Source organism: Homo sapiens, chromosome 1 (genome assembly GCF_000001405.40).
Source record: "Homo sapiens chromosome 1, GRCh38.p14 Primary Assembly".
Taxonomy (NCBI): Eukaryota; Metazoa; Chordata; class Mammalia; order Primates; family Hominidae; genus Homo; species Homo sapiens.
In genome coordinates this window covers 61,111,949-61,132,667 of record NC_000001.11, presented here as the reverse complement: position 1 = coordinate 61,132,667, position 20,719 = coordinate 61,111,949, and the positions used below count along the sequence as shown (strand labels likewise).

At 38.4% G+C, this 20,719-nt stretch overlaps 1 protein-coding gene across 4 annotated transcripts in view, besides 1 other annotated feature; it reads right to left on the bottom strand.

Moving 5' to 3' along the window:
- NFIA (nuclear factor I A) overlaps positions 1-20,719 on the bottom strand; it is a 385,562-nt gene that overhangs the window by 330,121 nt on the left and 34,722 nt on the right. The gene's annotated exons all lie outside the window — the stretch shown is intronic.
- Positions 17,797-18,091: a silencer, noted in NCBI's record as "tiled region #2485; HepG2 Repressive DNase matched - State 5:Enh". NCBI's record gives its function as "represses a minimal TATA promoter and a strong SV40 promoter by Sharpr-MPRA in HepG2 cells {active_cell/tissue: HepG2}" and the evidence as "EXISTENCE:reporter gene assay evidence [ECO:0000049][PMID:27701403]".

The following is a 20,719-nucleotide window of genomic DNA, read 5'->3' as shown; positions in this document are numbered from 1 at the left end:
TTGGTTCTTTTCTTCTTCCATCCCTTTTCTCCTTAATTGTCTTTTTAGCCAGCAACAGAGTTAGTCAATGAATTCAACCAGCTTCCTTCTTTCACCAGCCATGCCAAAAGACACTATCTTTGTGGCTTAAAGGATTTCAACTGCTCCCAAGTTATCTGAACTTATGGTACTTGAGGTTTGTTGTTTTGGACTGATGTTTAAGAAAATGCTCATTTCTTGATCCATGAGTGAACCTGACATGGCGGTATTTCCTCATTTCTAACAGTTTTCATAACATTAATATCGTGAAAAGAATACTGAAACTGATGGTGGAAGTCTGTAATCTAAGAATCTAAAACTAAACCACGTCCTCCTCGGGTGGATCCAGGAAGCATGATCCATTTATGGGATGAAGTTAAAAGGGGAGATTTCTTTTAGTAATGGGAGTGGACAGGCTGGCTTGACGTTCAGTGCTGATCTCTCAGATAACTTTTCTGAGGGATTTTCCTCATTCTTTTTTGACCAAATGACATAACCAAAGCTTAGCATATCTTCAGTGCTAATCTCAACAAGCAAATTGGGTTTACTTCATTTCTACCAATTGGCTTACCTATATATAATTTTTTCTACAGAAGTGTATAAAATTTTGACCTACCAAAACACAATTATGTTCCTCTGCTATTTAAATAGGTGCCAGTAAAGCCAGGAGTAGGAACAAGTCACCAAAGTATCAGCTGTAGAGGTTTTCTGGGCACACTCCAAAAGTCTACATCTGCTTGGCAACAATTCAGTGAAGAGATATGGTTACTCTTTTAACAGTAACAGAGCTTTCCCAGGCTTCAATGTATGAAAAACAGCTTGGTCTGTATCAGAAAAAAATTCAACCAGATCTGCAAAAATCACATACTTACTATCCTGACTGATCAACTTAAAAATTATTGCCATAAATGAAACCAAAATCATTAATGACATAGTTATCATAGAGTAGCCTGTTCACATGGTTTGAGAGTCCAAGTGGGAATCTTTTTTTTTTCCTTTTCTTTTTGCAACATAAACACTTAAGCATTTAGTGATAAAATATTAAAAGCTAGAGGCTCCAGATCCAATGAGTACAAGTTGCTGATATAGCATCATATACCAAGGAAAGGTGTCAAGCATGCTAAAATATGTCTGTAGCTTAGACATTAGGGGCCCTACTCTTCCCCTAATATGCTTGCCTTGTTCCTACTGTCCACAGTTAAATGCACACATCAGCACTAAAATGCATCCCCTTAAAATCTAGGGAGGAAATTCAACACATCTATGTCAATGAACAAAGTAATTGTCACATTTATTCACTACAAACAACAGATCTAGACACTGTTTTTAATTATAACATTAATTGATCTTTTGTAATCACTAATTAGAATGATAACATCACATTTAGTTACTTTCCTAGCCAGAGTGAACTTCCAGTTGCTGGAAAATGCATCAGTGAAGAAGAGGGTGAGGTGTACAAAAAAGAAAGATTTAGCAAAAAAAAAAAAAAAAGTCATACTATTTTTTTTAAAAGAAATGTTTTACCACAGTCAAGCACATTTTATATTTTAATTAATCTTGCTTCGTGTGAAGATTTCATTTAGTCTCTTTGCAATTAGAGTTCATATTGGTATTATATAAAATGTTGCCCCACTGTTGTGAAATTAGGAACAAGGAAGACTAGATTGATGACCAGAAAAGCTACCTTTTGTGCCTTGAGGAAAAAAGAAACGTCTTATGAATCTGTCATAGCCCTAGTCTGTGAGAAATGTAAAGGACTTTAATGGGTATTTTAGTAGAACCACTTAAAATTAAGTGATGAATTGGAATGGGAAAAGTTATTCCAATAAAAGCAAACAAATTAACTAACCTGACCTTGGTCCACATAAAAGATTCATTTTCTTAATGGAAACAAACTATTTGAGTCTAGCTCAGGTTTAACCACTGAAGTGTATGTGGAACCTAAATTAAGCTACAGAAACGTACGCCCCCCCACACACTCAGGTGCACACACACAGGGAGGTAAGAGTTCTTACAGCTTCGCAATTTGCCACTGGCGTGGTCTAGTAAGACCCACTTCTACAATGATTACCATATGAGTCAGAAACCTGTTAAGACCCAATTAACAAAAATGTTATGCATCACTGATGCATGTTTTGTCCAGAGCTTAATTCCATCGTTTTCCTAAATAAATTCTGTCTTTTCTACTCATTAACTTTCTCTTCCCTTGGGTACAAGTACCAACTTCTCTCCTATGTTGTTTAAAAAGGTTACAGAAGATCTGAAAGTTACAGGGCAATGTGTCTGTCTTTTTGTCCATGACTTAAAAAGAGTAAGATGACATCTGTCTGTTGTACATTTGGTATCTCTGATGCCGTAAAAACCACTAGTCTCCCTGATTTCACTAACAGTCTGAGAGGTAACATAATGTAAACCCCAGACAACTGGAAACAGCCTGGTTTTTTTCTCTTCTTCCTACCTGAATAACCAAAACTGTTTTAATACAAAGTAGAAGTGATTGCTGAGTAAGTCATTCTGGAAGCATAAGAAAAGCTTAGAGTGTAGGCTGGTAAGACTATCATGCTTGAAGCAATCACTGACATTGACTTTAGCTATCTGGAAAAAAAGAAACCAAAGAAGGGTCTTCTTACCAATATAAGAACCACCACACCGGGTCAATTTCCTTGCCTATCAAGCCAAGATTCTAACTCTAACAGGCGCATCCCCTCCGCCCTTTCTTCAGTGCACAGTCTATAGGAAGGTATGGTTGCTCTCTGTAGGAGTAGGAATGTCTCCCCACATCTCTAACTTTATTCGATATTTTTAACATATTTGTTATCTCTAAAGTTCCCTTTGGAGAATGCCCCTAATGTGAAACACTGCAAAGAACTGGTAACTTCAGATTATAAAGTAGCATGACTGGCCAGGCGTGGTGGCTCACACCTGTAATCTCAGCACTTTGGGAGGCTGAGGTGGGCGGATCACTTGAGGTCAGGAGTTCCAAGATCAGCCTGGCCAACATGCTGAAACCCCATCTCTACTAAAAATACAAAAATTACCCAGGCGGGTGGCGTGCACCTATAATCCCAGCTACTCGGGAGGCTGAGGCATGAGAATCGCTTGAATCTGGGAGATGGAGGCTGCAGTGAGCCGAGATCACACCACTGCACTCCAGCCAGGGCGACAGAGTGAGACTCCATCTCAAAAAAAAAAAAAAAAAGAATAAAGAAAGTATCACGACTATTGTCATTCTGTGCATATGTTTCAGTTGCACAGAAACCATCCTTTAATCCTTTAAGGTTGTGTGGATTTATGTGAGATGACTCTGTAAAATAATGGCTGATATACACATAATAAACTAATCCTGGGACAACTGGGCTACTTCATATGGTCTAGAAATTACCTGTCATCTTTTAACATTTTAAAGATTTTTCTAAAACACATAAGTAGGCCGGGCGCGGTGGCTCACACCTGTAATCCCAGCACTCTGGGAGGCCGAGGCGAACGGATCACGAGGTCAGGAGATCAAGACCATCCTGGCTAACACGGTGAAACCCCGTCTCTACTAAAAATACAAAAAATTAGCCGGGCGTGGTGGTGGGCGTCTGTAGTCCCAGCTACTCAGGAGGCTGAGGCAGGAGAATGGCGTGAATCTGGGAGGCGGAGCTTGCAGTGAGCCGAGATCGTGTCACTGCACTCCAGCCTGGGCGACAGAGCAAGACTCCGTCTCAAAAAAAAAAAAAAAAAAAAAAAAACATAAGTAAGCATCACCATTGGCTGGAAAGAGTACTACTCTTCTGGGTCTGTGAGCTTAGGAAAGTCCCTTCACTAAGTATCCTTATCTGTAGAGCATAGGGAATTCTATCAACAGATCTCCCTAAGGTCTCAAGTCTAAAATTCTCTTCTTAACATATGTAAAATCATTAATGTCCATTTCATGTCCATGAATGTCCATTTTATGCAAGCCAGTGCTCATTTTCAACAACAACATGTGATCGGGGTTATGCTAATCAACACTTTTACTTTGGCTACATTTTTTTAAATGTCAAACATAATAAAGGTCATCTTTTTTGGTTTTGAGATGGGGTCTCACTCTGTCACCCAGGTTGGGGTACAGTGGCTCACTGTAACCTCCACCTCCCGGACTCAAACCATCTTCCCACCTCAGCCTCCCACGTATTAATAGCTAGGACTACAAGCATGGCTAATTTTTGTATTTTTCGGTAGAGATGTGGTTTCGCTATGTTTCCTAGGCTGGTCTTGAACTCCTGGGCTCAAGTGATCCACCCGCCTCGGCTCCCAAAGTTCTGGGATTACAGGCCTGAAGATCATCATTTTTGAAGAGGTTCTTCATTTTCCCTGTAGACCATATCTCACTGCGGTCCACTGTTCTTCCTCCTTACAATTTATTAAATGTATTAGGGCTTGGTGCAGTGGCTCATGCCTGTAATCCCAGCACTTTGGGAGACTGAGGCAGGAACATCCTTGAGGCCAGGAGTTTGAGCCAGCGTGGGCAACATAGGGGGACTCCACGTCTACATTATTGAATAAAAATTTAAAAATTAAATTAAATGTATTAGGTGCTCAGTACAAGCGCATTTTTAGGCCATTCAGCCAAAATAAAGTCACATGAAATAAGATTTGCCAGATGCTGGGTTCAGTGCTAGGGAGTCAAAGACTTGCAAAGGTCCCTGCCCTTGAGGAGCTCCCGGTCTACTGGGGAAAATAAAATTCTTTATACAATGGATAAGTTCTGGGCTTACAGAGATATTCTTCAATACCACATCTGTTTTCAAAGGTTCCTGCAGACTAAAGGGTAACCTTCTGGTGAACAATCCTGGGCTTATAATCTAAAACAAAGAAAAGTAGGGGAAAAAAGTGAACTCTGTAACTAAAAATTTAAGGATACTTTTTTTTTAAAAGGCCTGTATAACAATATTGCAGTCTCTTTTTCCATTTTTAAGGGCATAATTATTCTTTCTCAAAGTCCAGGAATATCAAGAGAATTCAAGAAATACTTTAATACTTTAATTTAGTCAGGCATCTTACAAGACCATTCACCATATCTTCTGGCTGAAATACACGGTCTAGTGATGGCTGAGCTATATGAATTTATGGTCATTTGGGGAGCTCTCCTCAAAGAGGTTAGTATATTCATTCGGGAGTAAGTTCTCTACTCTGAGTACTTCTCAATACTTTTTTTTTTTTTAATATGGAATCTTGCCCTGTCACCCAGGCTGGAGTGCAGTGACACGATGCGATCTCAGCTCACTGCAACCTCCACCTCCCGGGTTCAAGCAATTCTCCTGCCTCAGCCTTCCAAGTAGCTGGGGCTATGGGTGTGCGCCACCATGCCCGGCTAATTTTTTGTATTTTTAGTAGAGATGGGGTTTCACAGTGTTAGCCAGGATGGTCTCGATCTCCTGACCTCGCGATCCATCCACCTTGGCCTCCCAAAGTGCTGGGATTACAGGCGTGAGCTGCTCTACCTGGCATTTTTTTTTTTTTTTGAGATGGGAGTTTTGTTCTGTCACCCAGGCTGGAGTGCAGTGGCACGAGCTTGGCTCACTGCAACCTCCACCTCCTGGGTTCAAGCGATTCTATTTTAATCTCAGCGCTTTGGGAAGCCGAGGCAGGCAGACTGCCTGAGGTCAGGAGGAGACCAGCCTGGCCATCATGGCGAAACCCCATCTCTACTAAAAATACAAAAACTAGTCGGACAGTCGGACGTGGTGGTACACATCTGTAGTCCCAGCTACTCAGGAGGCTGAGGCACGATAATCACTTGAACCTGGGAGGTGGAGGTTGCAGTGAGCCAAGATCACACCACTGCACTCCAGCCTGGGCAAGAGAGCAAGACTTTGTCTTCAAAAAAAAAAAAAAAAAAAAAAAAGGAATCTGACAATAGTTACTGACCATTTTTCCAGAAAAATTCACATATAGGCTAAATTCTGCATGCAACTTCAGAAACTTATACATAGACTACAAGTTAACCTATCCTGTTCACCTTGTTCATTATTTTTATTAATGGCTTGACTGATGGCATACTAACAATTGGCTGATGAATCAGGCAGGGAAAGATGAAACTAAAGTATCTTCTGATACTCATATTCTTTAAGGCTATACCTCTAGTATTCAAAAAGAACTCCATATGTTGAAAGATGGATTGCAGTCAATAAGAGGATATTTCTGTGAGTGTGTGTGTGTGTGTGTGTGTGTGTGTGTGTGTGTGTTCATTTTCAAAAAAAACCAACTAGGTAAAAGATGGCAGAGGCCATTTTGGCAGCAGTGGTTGCAAACATACCTGCATAAGGAAAGAGAATTGCATCAGCTCTGTGATCCTCCTGAGGCCGAATCAGGACCAATGAGAGATGTTAATGGGAGGCAGATTTCAGTTAAATAAAAGAAAGAATTTTTAAAGAATCTGCATTATTAGACAGAAGAGGTTGCCTTAGCCATGAAGGGAGCTCTCCCTCATCCTGAGAGGCAGTTTAGTGTAATGCAAGAAGATGGACCTAGGTTCTAATTTCAGATTTGCCTCAAGCTAGACATCTGAACTGAAGCAAGTTTCGTGACACTTATATAAACTTAGTTTCCTCACTTGTAAACTTGAGGGTTATAAAACCTGCACTCATACATAAGTCAGATGAGATGGCGATAAAGTACCTACTCTAGTATCTTGCAGATACTAGGTACTCAACACGAGTTCCTGCAAACCTTCATCCCCACCCCTACCTTCCTCACTTTTCTCTGGAAGTATTTAAGCAGAGGCTTTCAGGGTATCACGAGAGGTTCCTACAGAGGAAGGTGGCTAGACATCATGACCTCTAATTTTAAGTCTAGGGTCTGGTTAGCAAAACTAGGCTTAGGTGATCTCTTCTATATTATGTGTACAAAGTAGAAAACAATTTACTTTCATCTATCTCCCTTCCTTGAGCAGCTACCTTAAAAAACCAGAATGAATGCTCTTGTTTTTCTTCTTAGGTATAATATGCTTGCTAGCTCATTCCACTTTATTTCAAAGAATTTTCCATAAGCTCTTAAATGTTTCCATATGACACCATATTTTGCAGGTAACCTGAGTTCATACCATTCCCCACACACGAGTCCCTATAAAACGTTCCAGGATCTCTTTGTGTGCTCTGAATAGAATTTGTTAGGCTGCCAAGTCATTTGGTCTTCTCCAGATAGCCTTGTCGTTCCTAACTTGGTTATCGAATTCTTTTATCAGCATATTTTAATCAAAGCCTTTCAAAACAGTCTAAGGTTTAGGAAATACCATAAGGTCTAAATGGAAAAGGCAAGAAGGCAAAACAGAACTACTAATCGGGACAAAAGCAAAGGGCTATTCTGACTTTGCTTTAGAATACAACACAGCGGACGCTACTGTCATCTCAGGAGGAAAAAATGCCAGCTCAAATGTCACATGTGAATAAATTATTGGCCATTCATAAACAACAACAAAAAAGGGGATATTCAAGTTTTATTTCTAACACATGGGCTTACAAAAGATCTTTAGTTAGAATAGTTTTATAAAGAGGGAATCTCTCTTTTGTCACGAGATCAACATCTATCACTTACAAATTATTTTAATAAAATTAAACATTAAACAAGGAAGAAAAGTCCCAGGTTCCATGCCTCCTAAGGCAGCACAGATTCACTCCTCTAACAGTGAGAAGCAGAGATGATGGGTGAGATCCAGAGTCACAGCTGCTTTGGAAGCTGCTGGGCTCTCTTGTCATTTCAGAAGCCTTGCTGCACACAGGCACATTTCAACATGGCCACCTGGATTCCCTCCTCTCATGGAGGGAGGCCAGGTTACAGTGGTTCCATCCACCACCACGTCCTGAAACTAAAAGGGAATGCTGCTCTGCAAGGTGTTTGCTGCCTCATATACAAGTTGATTTTTCAAATAGGGGAATAATTATAAAGAAAAAAATTGCACTGCTTCGTCCCATCCGGCCCCAACTTTATCACTAAAGGTAATCGTTTCTTCTTTCATTATTATTTTCTTTCAACCATGACAATAAACACTTTTCAGCTAATAACTCATCAGTGGAAAGCTATTCAAATAATTTTACACTGATAACACAACAAACGTGGAACTGGAAAGAACCTTGCTGATAATTTGAATCTCTCAGTATTCAAATACCTGGAATGCCTGCTCCTCTTGCATGTCAAAATAGAAAATCCTTAAGAAGGATTTGTAATACAATTCTTCCTGTCTACACCAGACAGAATTGACTTTTCCTGTTTTTGTGCACCCATATCTCATATACAACACTCTCTACATCGTTCAACCACAGTATGTTTCCATTGTAAGACCTGGAGTTTCATAAGCATAGGACCCAGTCATACTTGTCTATGGATCCACAATGCCTAGCTAAATAGGTAGCCCACAGAACATCCTCACATTTGCCTCAATAAATGGTTGCTGAATTGACTTGAGTCAAAGGAAGCACTGAAGGCCAAGAAGCTGAACGACTGGCCAATGATCATACACAGCTAGAACAAGAACTCACTACACCAGCAGTCCTCTCTCTCCTCTTCCACACCAACTCCCTATATTACAAAACATGATCCTAATGGCTCATTATTTTATTGTCTTTCAAAACCAATTGTTCTTCCTAGAACACTGAAGCAACTCTTCCTCTAGGAGGAGGTATCTTTCTCAGCTTCAAGAAAAAGGAATCTGTTTTGCCCAGTATTAAATAATTTGATAAAAGCTGGTAAAACAGAAAGGTTTTTACACATGCAAATCTGCCCTTGCACCCAATTTCAATTCTCTTATTTTCCTGATCTATATTCCTGCTCTCCAGATGGACCATCAGCTTTATACCAATGCCAGCAACAGCTTGTGTATTGTTTGTTTAAAACAAAGATGATGGATTAAATATCATATGCAATGTGAGGAAAGAGGTTAAGGCTAATATTCCTGTTCTGAAATATATCATTAAGCCAAACCATGTAGCCTTCCCCCCTCACTGGATTTGTATAAATAAAGATTTAATTTTATTTTTCAGAGTCATAAGAGGAAGCATGCATTCATCTAGAATATGGAGCCTTTCCATCGCTCCAGATTTATTCTTGTTCTAAGGCATCATTACCCTCCAAATTATACAGACTTATGTCATTTCACTGAAACACTCATTCACCCATCACATGCCCAGATCCAACAGTAACACTTTTGTTTTAGAATTATGCCAAAATGAGCAAACTTGAAATTCTTTCACCTATATTTGAGTACTATGCAAAATGTCTTGAATCATCTCAAATAAATTCCAACCAAAAAATCTACAATTTCAATACAAAATATACAAACGAAAGAAATCACAGTGTAGGTCTCTCTCTCTGTACCCTCTGCACTATTACATGAAGCTGCCTACAAAACAGCTGCCAGTAGGATGGCCTGCGTATCAAAACCAGCCTCACTATGCAGGTTTCCCGCCCTGGCTGTGGGCTCTGTCCTATGTATTTGAATGTTGTCTCCATTAGAAAAATGATTTAAGGGAGGAAAAATTACATTTAGAAGCTAGAATGGAAGAACGTGCAAAATACAAAGATAATTCCATAAAGGGATTCTGATGATAGGATATCATTTAAGTAGATTATCATCAACGGAAGAATACTGATTAGGGGTTAGAAGTCCCACAGGGAATCTCTCTAGAAGAATCCAAAAGTAGAACTCTCCATTTCTCCTGGATACATGGACATACGTACTGAGTAGAAATGAAGAGCTTGGGCTGGGTGGGGGAGAGCATTAGGAAAAATAGCAAATGCATGCTGGGCTTAAAACCTAGAAGATGGCTGACAGGTGCAGCAAACCACCATGGCACACATTTACCTATGAAACAAACCTGCACATCCTTCACACGTACTCCAGAACTTAAAAATTTAAATTAAAAAAAGAAAAGAAATGAGCAGCTCATCTGGAACAGACAGAAATGCAGAGTCTAATCCTAGACACAGTCCACACATTGGTTTCTGGACCAAACATTCTATTACTCTGCCATTTCTACCAACTGGTCAGGTTAAAACTTTATTAAGGCTGGAATTTGGCCCTCCCCAGTTGCACCATGAAGAGAAAATATTTAAAGAAAGGTGTTTTGCAACTCCTTTGTTTGGGATTAGTGATACAATCTGTAGTGCTACCACCACTTTCTAGATGCCAGCTCAATTACCACCTTTTTTTATGTCAGGAGAGAATAGTAGGTAGGGTGTATGTCTAACGAGACACTCAGCAACACCGTGCAAACTCTGGGATACATGCAAGTTAGTCTAAAACTTTACAATATAACTCTTACAGCAACTTGACTGCTGAAAGCACAGTTAATCCAGTCTTACTGCACTATAACTCTTTACCAGTTTATAATACCGGATTGCCATCTTCTCTTGTTAGTTTGCACATGTGAGCATATTAGTAGACTAAAAGGCATACACAAGCATCCAGACAAATAAAAAGAAACTATGATACAGTATGTTCCCATTCGTGGTATTAAAAAAATGGCCACAAATACATGATGGGTAAAATGACACATTAATAAACTTAACTTTTAAATATGGAAAACTCCCATTCACAATCACAAAATATACATTTTATGTAGGACCTGGATGCTAAAATGTGCGTTAAATGAAACCTATGGTCCCTTATAACTATAACATCCTATGATGCTTTGAGTGTCTTTTTATGTATGTATTTGCTTGGATTTTTTTTCTTGTCAGGGAAGGTAGCTCCAGCCTCCTTCTGGAATAGCTTTCCACCTACATATCTTCCTACTGCAATGACACAAGTTGAGCTGACTGCACAGTGATGTAACTTCAGGATTAAAAGAAAATGAAAAAGAGAGTTCTACCCCAGTCCTTCATGCTATCACCACCAGGGTCCAGCTAGTGAACATTTTGTTTTATCAAAATACTAGAGGCTACACTAAAATGGTTCCTAACAGGTTAGGTTAAAAAATTTTCCTTTCTTTTAACTTATTGAGGGTAAGAGGGAGAAAATTACAAGGAGAGCAGAAAGATTCTTTTATGTTACACATCTACCTATGGAGTACAAATCCTGTGTCCCATAAAGAAAACTCTATTTGTGCTGAATGTATATTTACCATTTCCTGCTAATGAAGTAAAAACTGATTCCAGATGAACAGAAAAAATATTTTAATTTTCACTGAAAATTAATTCCAGGGCAAAAATGCAAGGCAGTTTTTTTAAAACCTATAACTCTGTTGATCCATTTCTGATTTCCTGTGCACGCATTTTACTCCCTAGAATTCTTGGGGAGGAGGAGGGTCAGTTTGTGATAATACAGCATACTTTTACATTCCGAGCAAAAGATTGCTAATTTCTATCTAGAAACCAAAGAATTCACATGTTTTCTTTCCCAAAAGAGAAGGTTTTTTAAACAGCAATAAAATAACAGCATAGCATATTACCTAATAAAACAAGAGTTCAAAGAGCCCTGGGAAAAGCAGAGTTAAAGATGATCACTTAATCAACCTTAACTCACACTAGGATATTTAGCTATTGCATCATTTGCAGTACACAAGTCACACGCTGTCCTCAGTCCACTCCATTGAGTAACAGACAATGCAATGCTTTAAATTTGATTTCCTAATGTCCTAGATGTCAATTTAAGACCTTACAATGCTAATACTTTTATCATAAATGTACTGAAGATTTTTTAAACTGTCCCTGATATTATGGCTAACAGATACTGTTCACAAAATATATTACAAGGCACTAATTAGATATCATAAAATGCAAAGTATGGCCGTGTTCAAGTTTTAAATCTAAAGTGAGAAATTGTAAACTTGAAAGGATCTTATGCCCCAGAAATTTCTTTTGACTTTTAATTTCCAATATTTCCATTCTCCTTAAATTTAGAACCAGCAAGCTATTTAAAAAGTAGTTTGTGGAAGAGCCACTTTCAGTTTTAAATGGACTTAACTGCAGATTGTTAATAACTTCCAAAATGCAAACTGTAGAAGGCCTCGTATGTGCTACCTTGATCACTTTTAAATAAATTTCCAATAATGTCTTTTGAGATGGGACCAGAAAAATGACTTTATTGCTTCCCCAAAGGCTTCACTTACAAGCTTATCACTCTTTTGATGGCAGCTCTGTGTGACTGAAAACTGTCACGGTCACGGCAGACATGAAATAAGTGGACATTAGAATAACAAAACGACCAGAGTGTGCCTGGAATGCTCAACCCTGTGTAGTAACAAACGTTGATTTTGATTCTAACAATATTTCCAAACAATCCTTAAATCTGGCAGACAGAAAGAATACTAATCACCTAGATAAATGTGTTTCTTCTACATTCTGGAGGAGTGCCATAAGAATATATCAAGTTTAGTAAGCTTATGTGAGTGGCTCACTGTCCCACTTGGCATTACTTATTGAATTTCATATTATTTTATTAGGATGTTGATACAGACACTATGTAAAACTCTACAATTAAGTTAATTCAATCTTGTCATCTCACATAATTACAAATATTACAGAGCTCAAACCAAATCAATGGCCAAGTGTACACCACAAGATTTAAACCAATGAAATCTGGTTTGACATACAGAAACCATAAAATTCAAGAAGGGGGAATGAATCCCTTTACCTTGGCCTTGATTATCCAAATATGTTACCCATATAGATCAGATTTCTTTGCGATGTGGGCATAACCTACATGCAGGTAATGAACTACCAACCCTCTAAATATGCAAACTTCTTCCTTCAAATGTTTATTTTTCAAACAATATCAAAGTTGGTAAGACACAGATGAGCAGGGCATACAGAGGCAAGGCTGTTAAAATTTAAGAGCATTAAATACAAATATCTACTCACCAGGTATCAACCTGATGCATGATTACTAATTCTTCACGGAAAATCTACATACTCTCATAATAAGTATTTCTTCACCCAAGAAGGCAAGCAAACACTATAATGAACACACATTTTGATAATAAAGATTTTCAGTTATAATAAGTAACTCAAACCTTCAAACCTAAGAATTGAATGTTTTTTAATTCAAATTTTAAAGTTTCTTTAGTCTGAGTCCATGCAAAACTTTAGCAAGAACTATCACAAGTTATTTCAGTCATACAAATTATTTAATGAGCACCCATGCAATCTATGCCAAATAAAAATGAAGAACAGTGCAATGCCAACTTCTCTGATTAATGCATCCTTAGCTTACATTTCCATACAGTTTCTCTTAATTAAAGACAAACAGAAATTTCCTCTTACTAAACAATTTTACGTTCAAGTTTACTTTCTAGAGCTATTTCTAAAAGTGTATATCATTTGTTTTGCTGAGTAACTGAATTACCTCATATGATAAAGCTATTAATTATGTGGACCTGGTAACAAAGGAAGAGCACTTGGCACAGGAACAGAGACGAGAGAGTTTACTAGTGGGGTGGACTTTGGGCCTTGAGTAAGCCAGGTTTTGTAAGTAACACCAGGGGGAAACATACCTACATAAAAGCTAAAATTACCAATTATACGTGCAAATATTTAAGATTTCACAGGAAAAGATTAGCTAATTAAAAAGGTTTGAATACATTATACCTTTCAAAGGGAGATCATAATTTATTGTAATAATTTTTCTGAAAAAATTAGCCTGAATAATTTCCTGGTTGTATTATAGGAGGAAAAGACCTATAATATCTTTCATATTCTGTACATTTTTTCAAAGACTACTGAGATGTTTTCCTAGATCAAAGCGATCCTCCTCTGGTCTGGATGGCTACAGCAATTATTTCCTTGAATTATGTTTCACACTTGCCCTCTGCTGCTATAACAGCACATTCCAAAGCCAAATGGACCTGGATTCAAATGCTGCCTTTACCACCACTGCCTATTCTGTGTAACCCTGTGGCAAGCTGCTCTCCCGCCAATATGAACTTTATTTAGGTCACTCTCCCTTAACTGTCCAGCCATAATGGCCTTCAGTCTCTGGTACACACACACACACACACACACACACACACACACACACACACACACACACTCATCCCGACCAAACTTTTTGCACTTGGTCTTCTCCTTACTTGGATGCTTAGTATGAATGCGGCCTCATCCTTCACATTCCCATCTAAAGCAGGTCCTCTTAGTTATTCTCTATCACCTTGCCTGTTTCCTTTAGAGATCTATCACATTAGAAATTATTTTGTTTATGTACCCACATACTGTTTCCCACACTCAAAGTGCACACTCCATGAGACCAGGGCTGTCTCTGTGCTGCTCACTGCTGTACTCCCAGTATCTAGCACACTGCCTGGTATACAGTGGGCAGCCAACAACAGTTGGCTGAATAAATAAACCACCTAAAATAATATTGATTGAAAACATCATTACATATAGAATTATTTTCTCCATTCAGATTCCCAGAAGTGATCATGCTGATTCTGAATAAGAATTCTTTTCCTTTCTTTAGCCAGACAATATTTCTTTTTTTTCTTTTCTTTTTTTTTTTTTTGTTCTTTGAGACAGAGTCTCACTCTGTTGCCCAGGCTGGAGTGCAGTGGTGCGGCCTCAGCTCACTGCAACCTCCACCTCCCAGGTTCAAGTGATTCTCCTGTCTCAACCTCCTGAGTAGCTGGGATCACAGGCGCCTGCCACCATGCCTGGCTCATTTTTTGTATTTTTAGTAGAGATGGGGTTTCACCATGTTGGCCAGGCTGGTCTTGGACTCCTGATCTCAGGCAATCCACCTGCCTCAGCCTCCCAAAGTGCTGGGATTACAGGCTTGAGCCACCACGCCCGGCCAGCCAGACGATGTTCCATAATTTGTGCCCCACTGGAAAGCAACTAATGAACTGGTACCTACTTTTATCACGAGATTATAGAAAATTTGAGGCTACAGACTATGTCATATGCTTTCATCACTAAGCTCAAAGCCTTGTACCCAGCAGGTGCTCAATAAATACATTTGAGAGCTTTAATACTAAATAATAAACTGCAGTCTGTCAGGACACCAAATTATCAAGCAACGATTATTAGTGAAATATACGATAACCTTGTAAAACACTCAAGATGTCTGCCAAGTAATAGTAAAACACAAAAATAGGTGCTGTATAGTTACATTAATATAAAAACTATGCCTATATAGTTACATTAATATAAAAACTGTGCCTATCCAGGAATCTACATTTTTTTTTCCTGTTCTTAACATTATTGCAGACTTGACAATAAAGGATTAAGGTGGAGAGAAACTAGTTCCTAAACATAAGACCTTAAACTTTCAGGAGGAAAAAAAAATGGTATTAGGGACACCAAGTTAATCCTATATCACAATCCAGTGATTCATTAGAAACATTCTTCTCTCTGGGGCTCATTCTTCCATCACTATGGAGGGATTTATATCCATAACCTCCATTAACATTAATGGAAGGTAGCCACATAATTTCACCAGAAGTCCACTAGAGAATCGGGCCTATAAGAGAAAAAGCTTTCATTTATTAAGTTTATAAAGAATTCCTAGTATAACACAAATAGCGGTGTCTCTGTTAACTGCCCTGATGGGTGCAATCATGCTGGAGAGGGTGAAATTGAACAATTAAACTAATTCTGCTATATTCACAGAAAATATAGTTCATAAAGCTACATGCTTCTAATACCTTCCTCTCAACAAGAGACTATCCTTTGATTCCCTACTGTAATTTCAAAAGCAAATAGTATTTTAAAAGTATTTCTTGTCATAAAAAAGGCATGCTTTAAAATGGAATGTTCTAACAAAATACACTCACACATGCAGGAAATAAGGAATTTACAAGCCAACACAAGGTCATTATTTAATTTTTAATTAGGTTTCACCTAACAATGGAAAACTAAGTCTTCCTTCATCCATTTAACAAAATGCTCATTTAGAATACTCCATGGCTTAGAAAGCTTCTGAACAGATGTCTAAAATGAGAATTCAAGACTCAGGAAAATATGAAACTCACTTTACTCTGTTCTCAAGTGATGTGATAAACAAACAGCCTCACCCACTGCAGTCATCGTTGATAATTTATTTCTAGAGTCTGATGACTATACGGCAATTCACTTTGCTGATGAAACATTCTTTATTTGGGTGGGATGCACACAGAAAACAACTTAACGAATGTCATTCCCACAAGATAACAGACCATCGAGAAGATGCATGCCAGGCAGTACTGCATCAAAAAACCGCTTTTCACCTATCAGAAGATGCCTTAACAACTGACAGTGTTTATCAAGTGCACAAAACGTTGTTCCTGCTAAGCACAGTTTCAGAGCCAACTCTGTTTCTTCATTAAGGTCATCTAAACTTTCTATGCCCATGTTTTCTGCATATTTGCACTAAAAATCCTTACACTTGCAATTATTTATAGCAGTACTGGAAGTGGCAGATATGTACTGTAAGTTATTTTCATTTTGTTAATTAACTTAGGGTCTCATTTTCACTGTATACAAGGGCTTCCTCAAATTCCTAAGACAATTCTACTGATAACTGAGAACTCTCCTTCTCCAAGGTTATTTTAGGGTCTCTAATTTGGGCTTTGCTTTTATACCATTTAACTTTGTTGTAGCTGAGGAGCCCTAAGATGACAAGAAATCAGCATCATATTTAAACTCTCCCAGGGGAGGAAAAAAGGGGACTCCTCAAAACAAGGCAAAAAAAAAAAAAAACAGAAGACATGGCAGACACTCCTCAGATAACCACTGGAGGAAAGGCAGAATCCAGCTGCAGAGTGAAAGAAGAAAAAGAACAGGGAGAACTGTGGTCTTCACCACCTTTTTAGAGTTTCAAAAGTTTCATACTTTAAATTTATCGAGGGAACGTGAGGTTTCAAATGTACATTTGGGCCAAACTTTATGCCAAGGGATAACATGTCAAAGGCACCATATGTGGACCTTCTCCCTCTCTGGGGCAAGGGCAAGTGGACAAATGTTTTCAACATTGCCCATGAAGTTGGGAAGTTTCTCACGGGCAGCCTTGCTCAAGGGTCAGCACGAGGTAAAGCACGGGTGCTTGCTGAAGGAACAAGGATGGAAGTGAAGCATTACACACTCTATGCATGTGTGCTCTGCCTCCACGTGCCGTGTCCAGAACACACGCTACATATGCCCATCTCCATGCTCTGTCCCTGCAAGTCCCTTGCCAACCTTCGAGGCCCTGCTTTAGGTCATCTCCTTCACAGAAGCCATCCTCATTCTCTCCAGCTCAGAATCAACCCTGTTCTCTCCCTGGCCAAGTAAATCCCTTGTAGTCTATGTGTAAGACAGCATTTAATACATTTTGCCTCTTCCCCTTTGAATCTAGGGACATCTGGAAGGGAAGCCCAGCTTCCTGTTTTTCTCTATATTTCTTCTACCAACCTGTACCATGTTACCTTACTTCCAGTAAGTTATCAATATATATTTGCGGCTGGGTGCAGTAGCTCACACCTGTAATCCCAGGACTTTGGGAGGCTGAAGTGGGTGGATCACCTGAGGTCAGGAATTCAAGATCAGCCTGGCCAACATGGTGAAACCCCGTCTCTGCTAAAAATACAAAAAGTTAGCTGGGCGTGGTGGCCTTTGCCTGTAATCCCAGCTACTCAGGAAGCTGAGCAAAGAGAATAGTTTGAACCCGGGAGGTGTAGGTTGCAGTGGGCCAAGATCGCACCACTGCACTCCAGCCTGGGTGACAGAGTGAGATTCTAACCAAAATAAACAAAAACAAAACAAAACAAACAACAACAAATATATATATATTCACTTAATGTTGAAATGAATACTTCTACCTATGCCAGTGTATTCCAGCTTCCTGTCTGAATATTATATCCACTTTTCTCCTGATTATATTAAAATACCCAAAATGTGGTGTTTGAGATCAAATCTTTTCTAGTGTCTTGAAGGCACTCAGATTACATACTATGAACAAGGTAAATATAGAAAAGTGACAAGAGTGAAAAAAGTCACCATGCATACCATGTCCAAACTTATCAATGATAAACCATTAAAAGATAAGAAGAAAAGTCCAGGTCTTTCTCCTGAGTAACTCTGACATGACCTCAGCTTCCAATGAAGAGCAAATATTGACAATGAAACAGGCCACCCTCAAAGAGAAACGTGCTCCCTTAAAGCCAACTTTTAAAAAAATATAAGAAAAAATAATCTGGAAATAATTTTCCTCTGAAAGGAGAAAGGAAATAATGTTTTTTGCTTTATGTTTTGAGAAAGGATCTTGCTCTGTTGCCCAGGCTGGAGTGCAGTGGTACAACTGAGGCTCACTGAAGCCTCAATCTCCCTGCTCAAGTGATCCTCCCACCTCAGTCTCCTGAGTAGCTGGGACTACAGGCAAAGGCCACCACACCTGGCTGACTAAAAAAAAAAAATTTTTTTAAGATGGGGTCTTGCTATGTTGTCCAGGCTAGAATGTTCATTTTTTTTCTACATAGGTCTTTCTACGTATATAGAATTTGTTGCTATTTTAAGATAACAAAGAAATAACATGTGTTTTATCGTATAATGTTATTTTTGAAGTTTCAAGTACTACTCAGAATCAGAAACCATGTATTATCTCAAAAGTGCTCTTGCCATTTTGTATATTTTGTTTATGATATTACTCAGGGCACAGGAAATAAAAACCATCATGATTTATAATTTTGTGCCGAGACAAAGCTACTGTTCCACTGTCTGTCACTCTACTCTTGTTTTCAATGCTCCCTACATTTGGACTTCATGATTAATCCTTTCAAAAAAAACCTCTTGAAGCATGTCATATCCCTGTTCAAAAACCCTACATGATTCTTACTGCCTAGATCTTTAAATTGGCATTCAATACCCTCCGCTATGTAAACCCCCCATTCTAACCAAACTCGCCAACCGACCTGCTCTAGGACAAATCGTGCATATGTCTGCTTCTGCAGCTGTGCTCACGCCTTTCACCTGCTCTCCAACTCTTCTCTCCACCATGGCCTCTGCTCATTCTCTCATTTCCAAACAATCCTTCATCCACAACTCAAATCAGTTTTACCCAAGAAGCCTTCCAAATGGTCTCAATTCAGCATAAATTCTCTTTCAGATTTCTACCAAACATATTCTCTTTTTTTTTTTTTTTTTTTTCTGAGATGGAGTTTCACTCTTGTTGCCCAGGCTGGAGTGCAATGGTGCACTCTCAGCTCATTACAACCTCCGCCTCAACGGTTCAAGCAATTCTCCTGCCTCAGCCTCCAGAGTAGCTGGGATTACAGGTGCCTGCCACCATGCCTAGTAATTTTTTTGTATTTTTAGAAGAGACTGGGTTTTGCCATGTTGGCCAGGCTGGTCTCAAACTCCTGACCTCAGGCAATCCACCTGCCTTGGCCACCCAAAGTGCTGGGATTCCAGGTGTGATCCCCTGCACCTGGCCCACCAAACATATTCTCATTTGGTATTTAAAAATGTCCCTAAGAAGAAGTATGTTTCATAAAGCACGTCTACACTGTATATCTAGGATGACATCCTTCACCAAACCTAGTACAACTGATACAAACCTGTGAATTAAGAAACTTATCTCAAAGACAGTGATTTATAAGCCTTATAGAATCAAATTAAAGAATATATTGAAAGACTGTAATAAATTAGGATTAGCTATATATTATAAACAAAATGTTTTCAAAAGACGTACCATTTTAAGGAGAAATTTTCATTCCAATCTTATTCCTGATCTTATCACATTTTTAGGGCTAATGAAACACTAGAAATACTATTATAAATGAAGCATGCTAATTTTAATTCCTCAATCCACAGTCACTATAAAAATTAACAATAAAAAATCCTAAATTCTGCAGATGACATTGTATGTCCATATATGCACGATGTAATTAATGCAAGTTCAACAATAATAATCAATGCATATGAAATGAATGTTAGGCCTACAAAAGAAAGTGCAGCAGACTTTTGTGGGTTAGTATGAAAACGTCATTAATCCATTGTATGCAAACATGTCTCTAATTTTAAATGAGTTTTAAAGAAGATAGTTTATTAAATCACCCTCTAGGAAGCTAATGGCAATTGGGTGGCCATTAAACAGTAAGTTTCTGATTACAGATGTGAGCTATCACACATATAAGATCTGGGTAAAAACTACCTTTAATATACACCCTTAATTTTCAACAACAACAAAAAGACAATTACAAGACAATCTTAAGAGTCCAGCAATAGCCAAAAGAAACCTTTGACCATCAATAAATGACAGGAGCAGCTTAAAACTCTTATGTGTGCAAATGCACACACTTATCTACATGCATGCACACATATACACACACATACACCTTCATCATAACACCTAGTAAGTCATGGTTACTCTGTACTACTACATATAAATGATACTGTACCTTGATTTTAATTTCTTGTTATCATTACTTTAGGAACCAAAGTGTTGTGTGTGTTCAATTTTAAAAGTATACTAAAAATGAAGGATTCTAAAAAGAATAGAGAAATATATTATTAAGAAAATTGAAAACATTTATTTTTAAAAGGACACAGCTCAACATACTAAAGACATACTTAAGCTGCCAATTTTTAGAGCATAGTTTTTTTTTAAAAAAAAAAAATCTTTCTATTTTGGACAAATAGGATTAAGCTTCTTAGACAATTCTTTGTTGTTTTGACTTCAACAATTTATGCAAATGAGATGTTAATTAGTGTAATTGTAACTTAAATTATGCTTGTGTAAACCTCTCCATTGGTAGAAAAGTGTGGGAATCTACACAACTGGTATTTAAAGTAG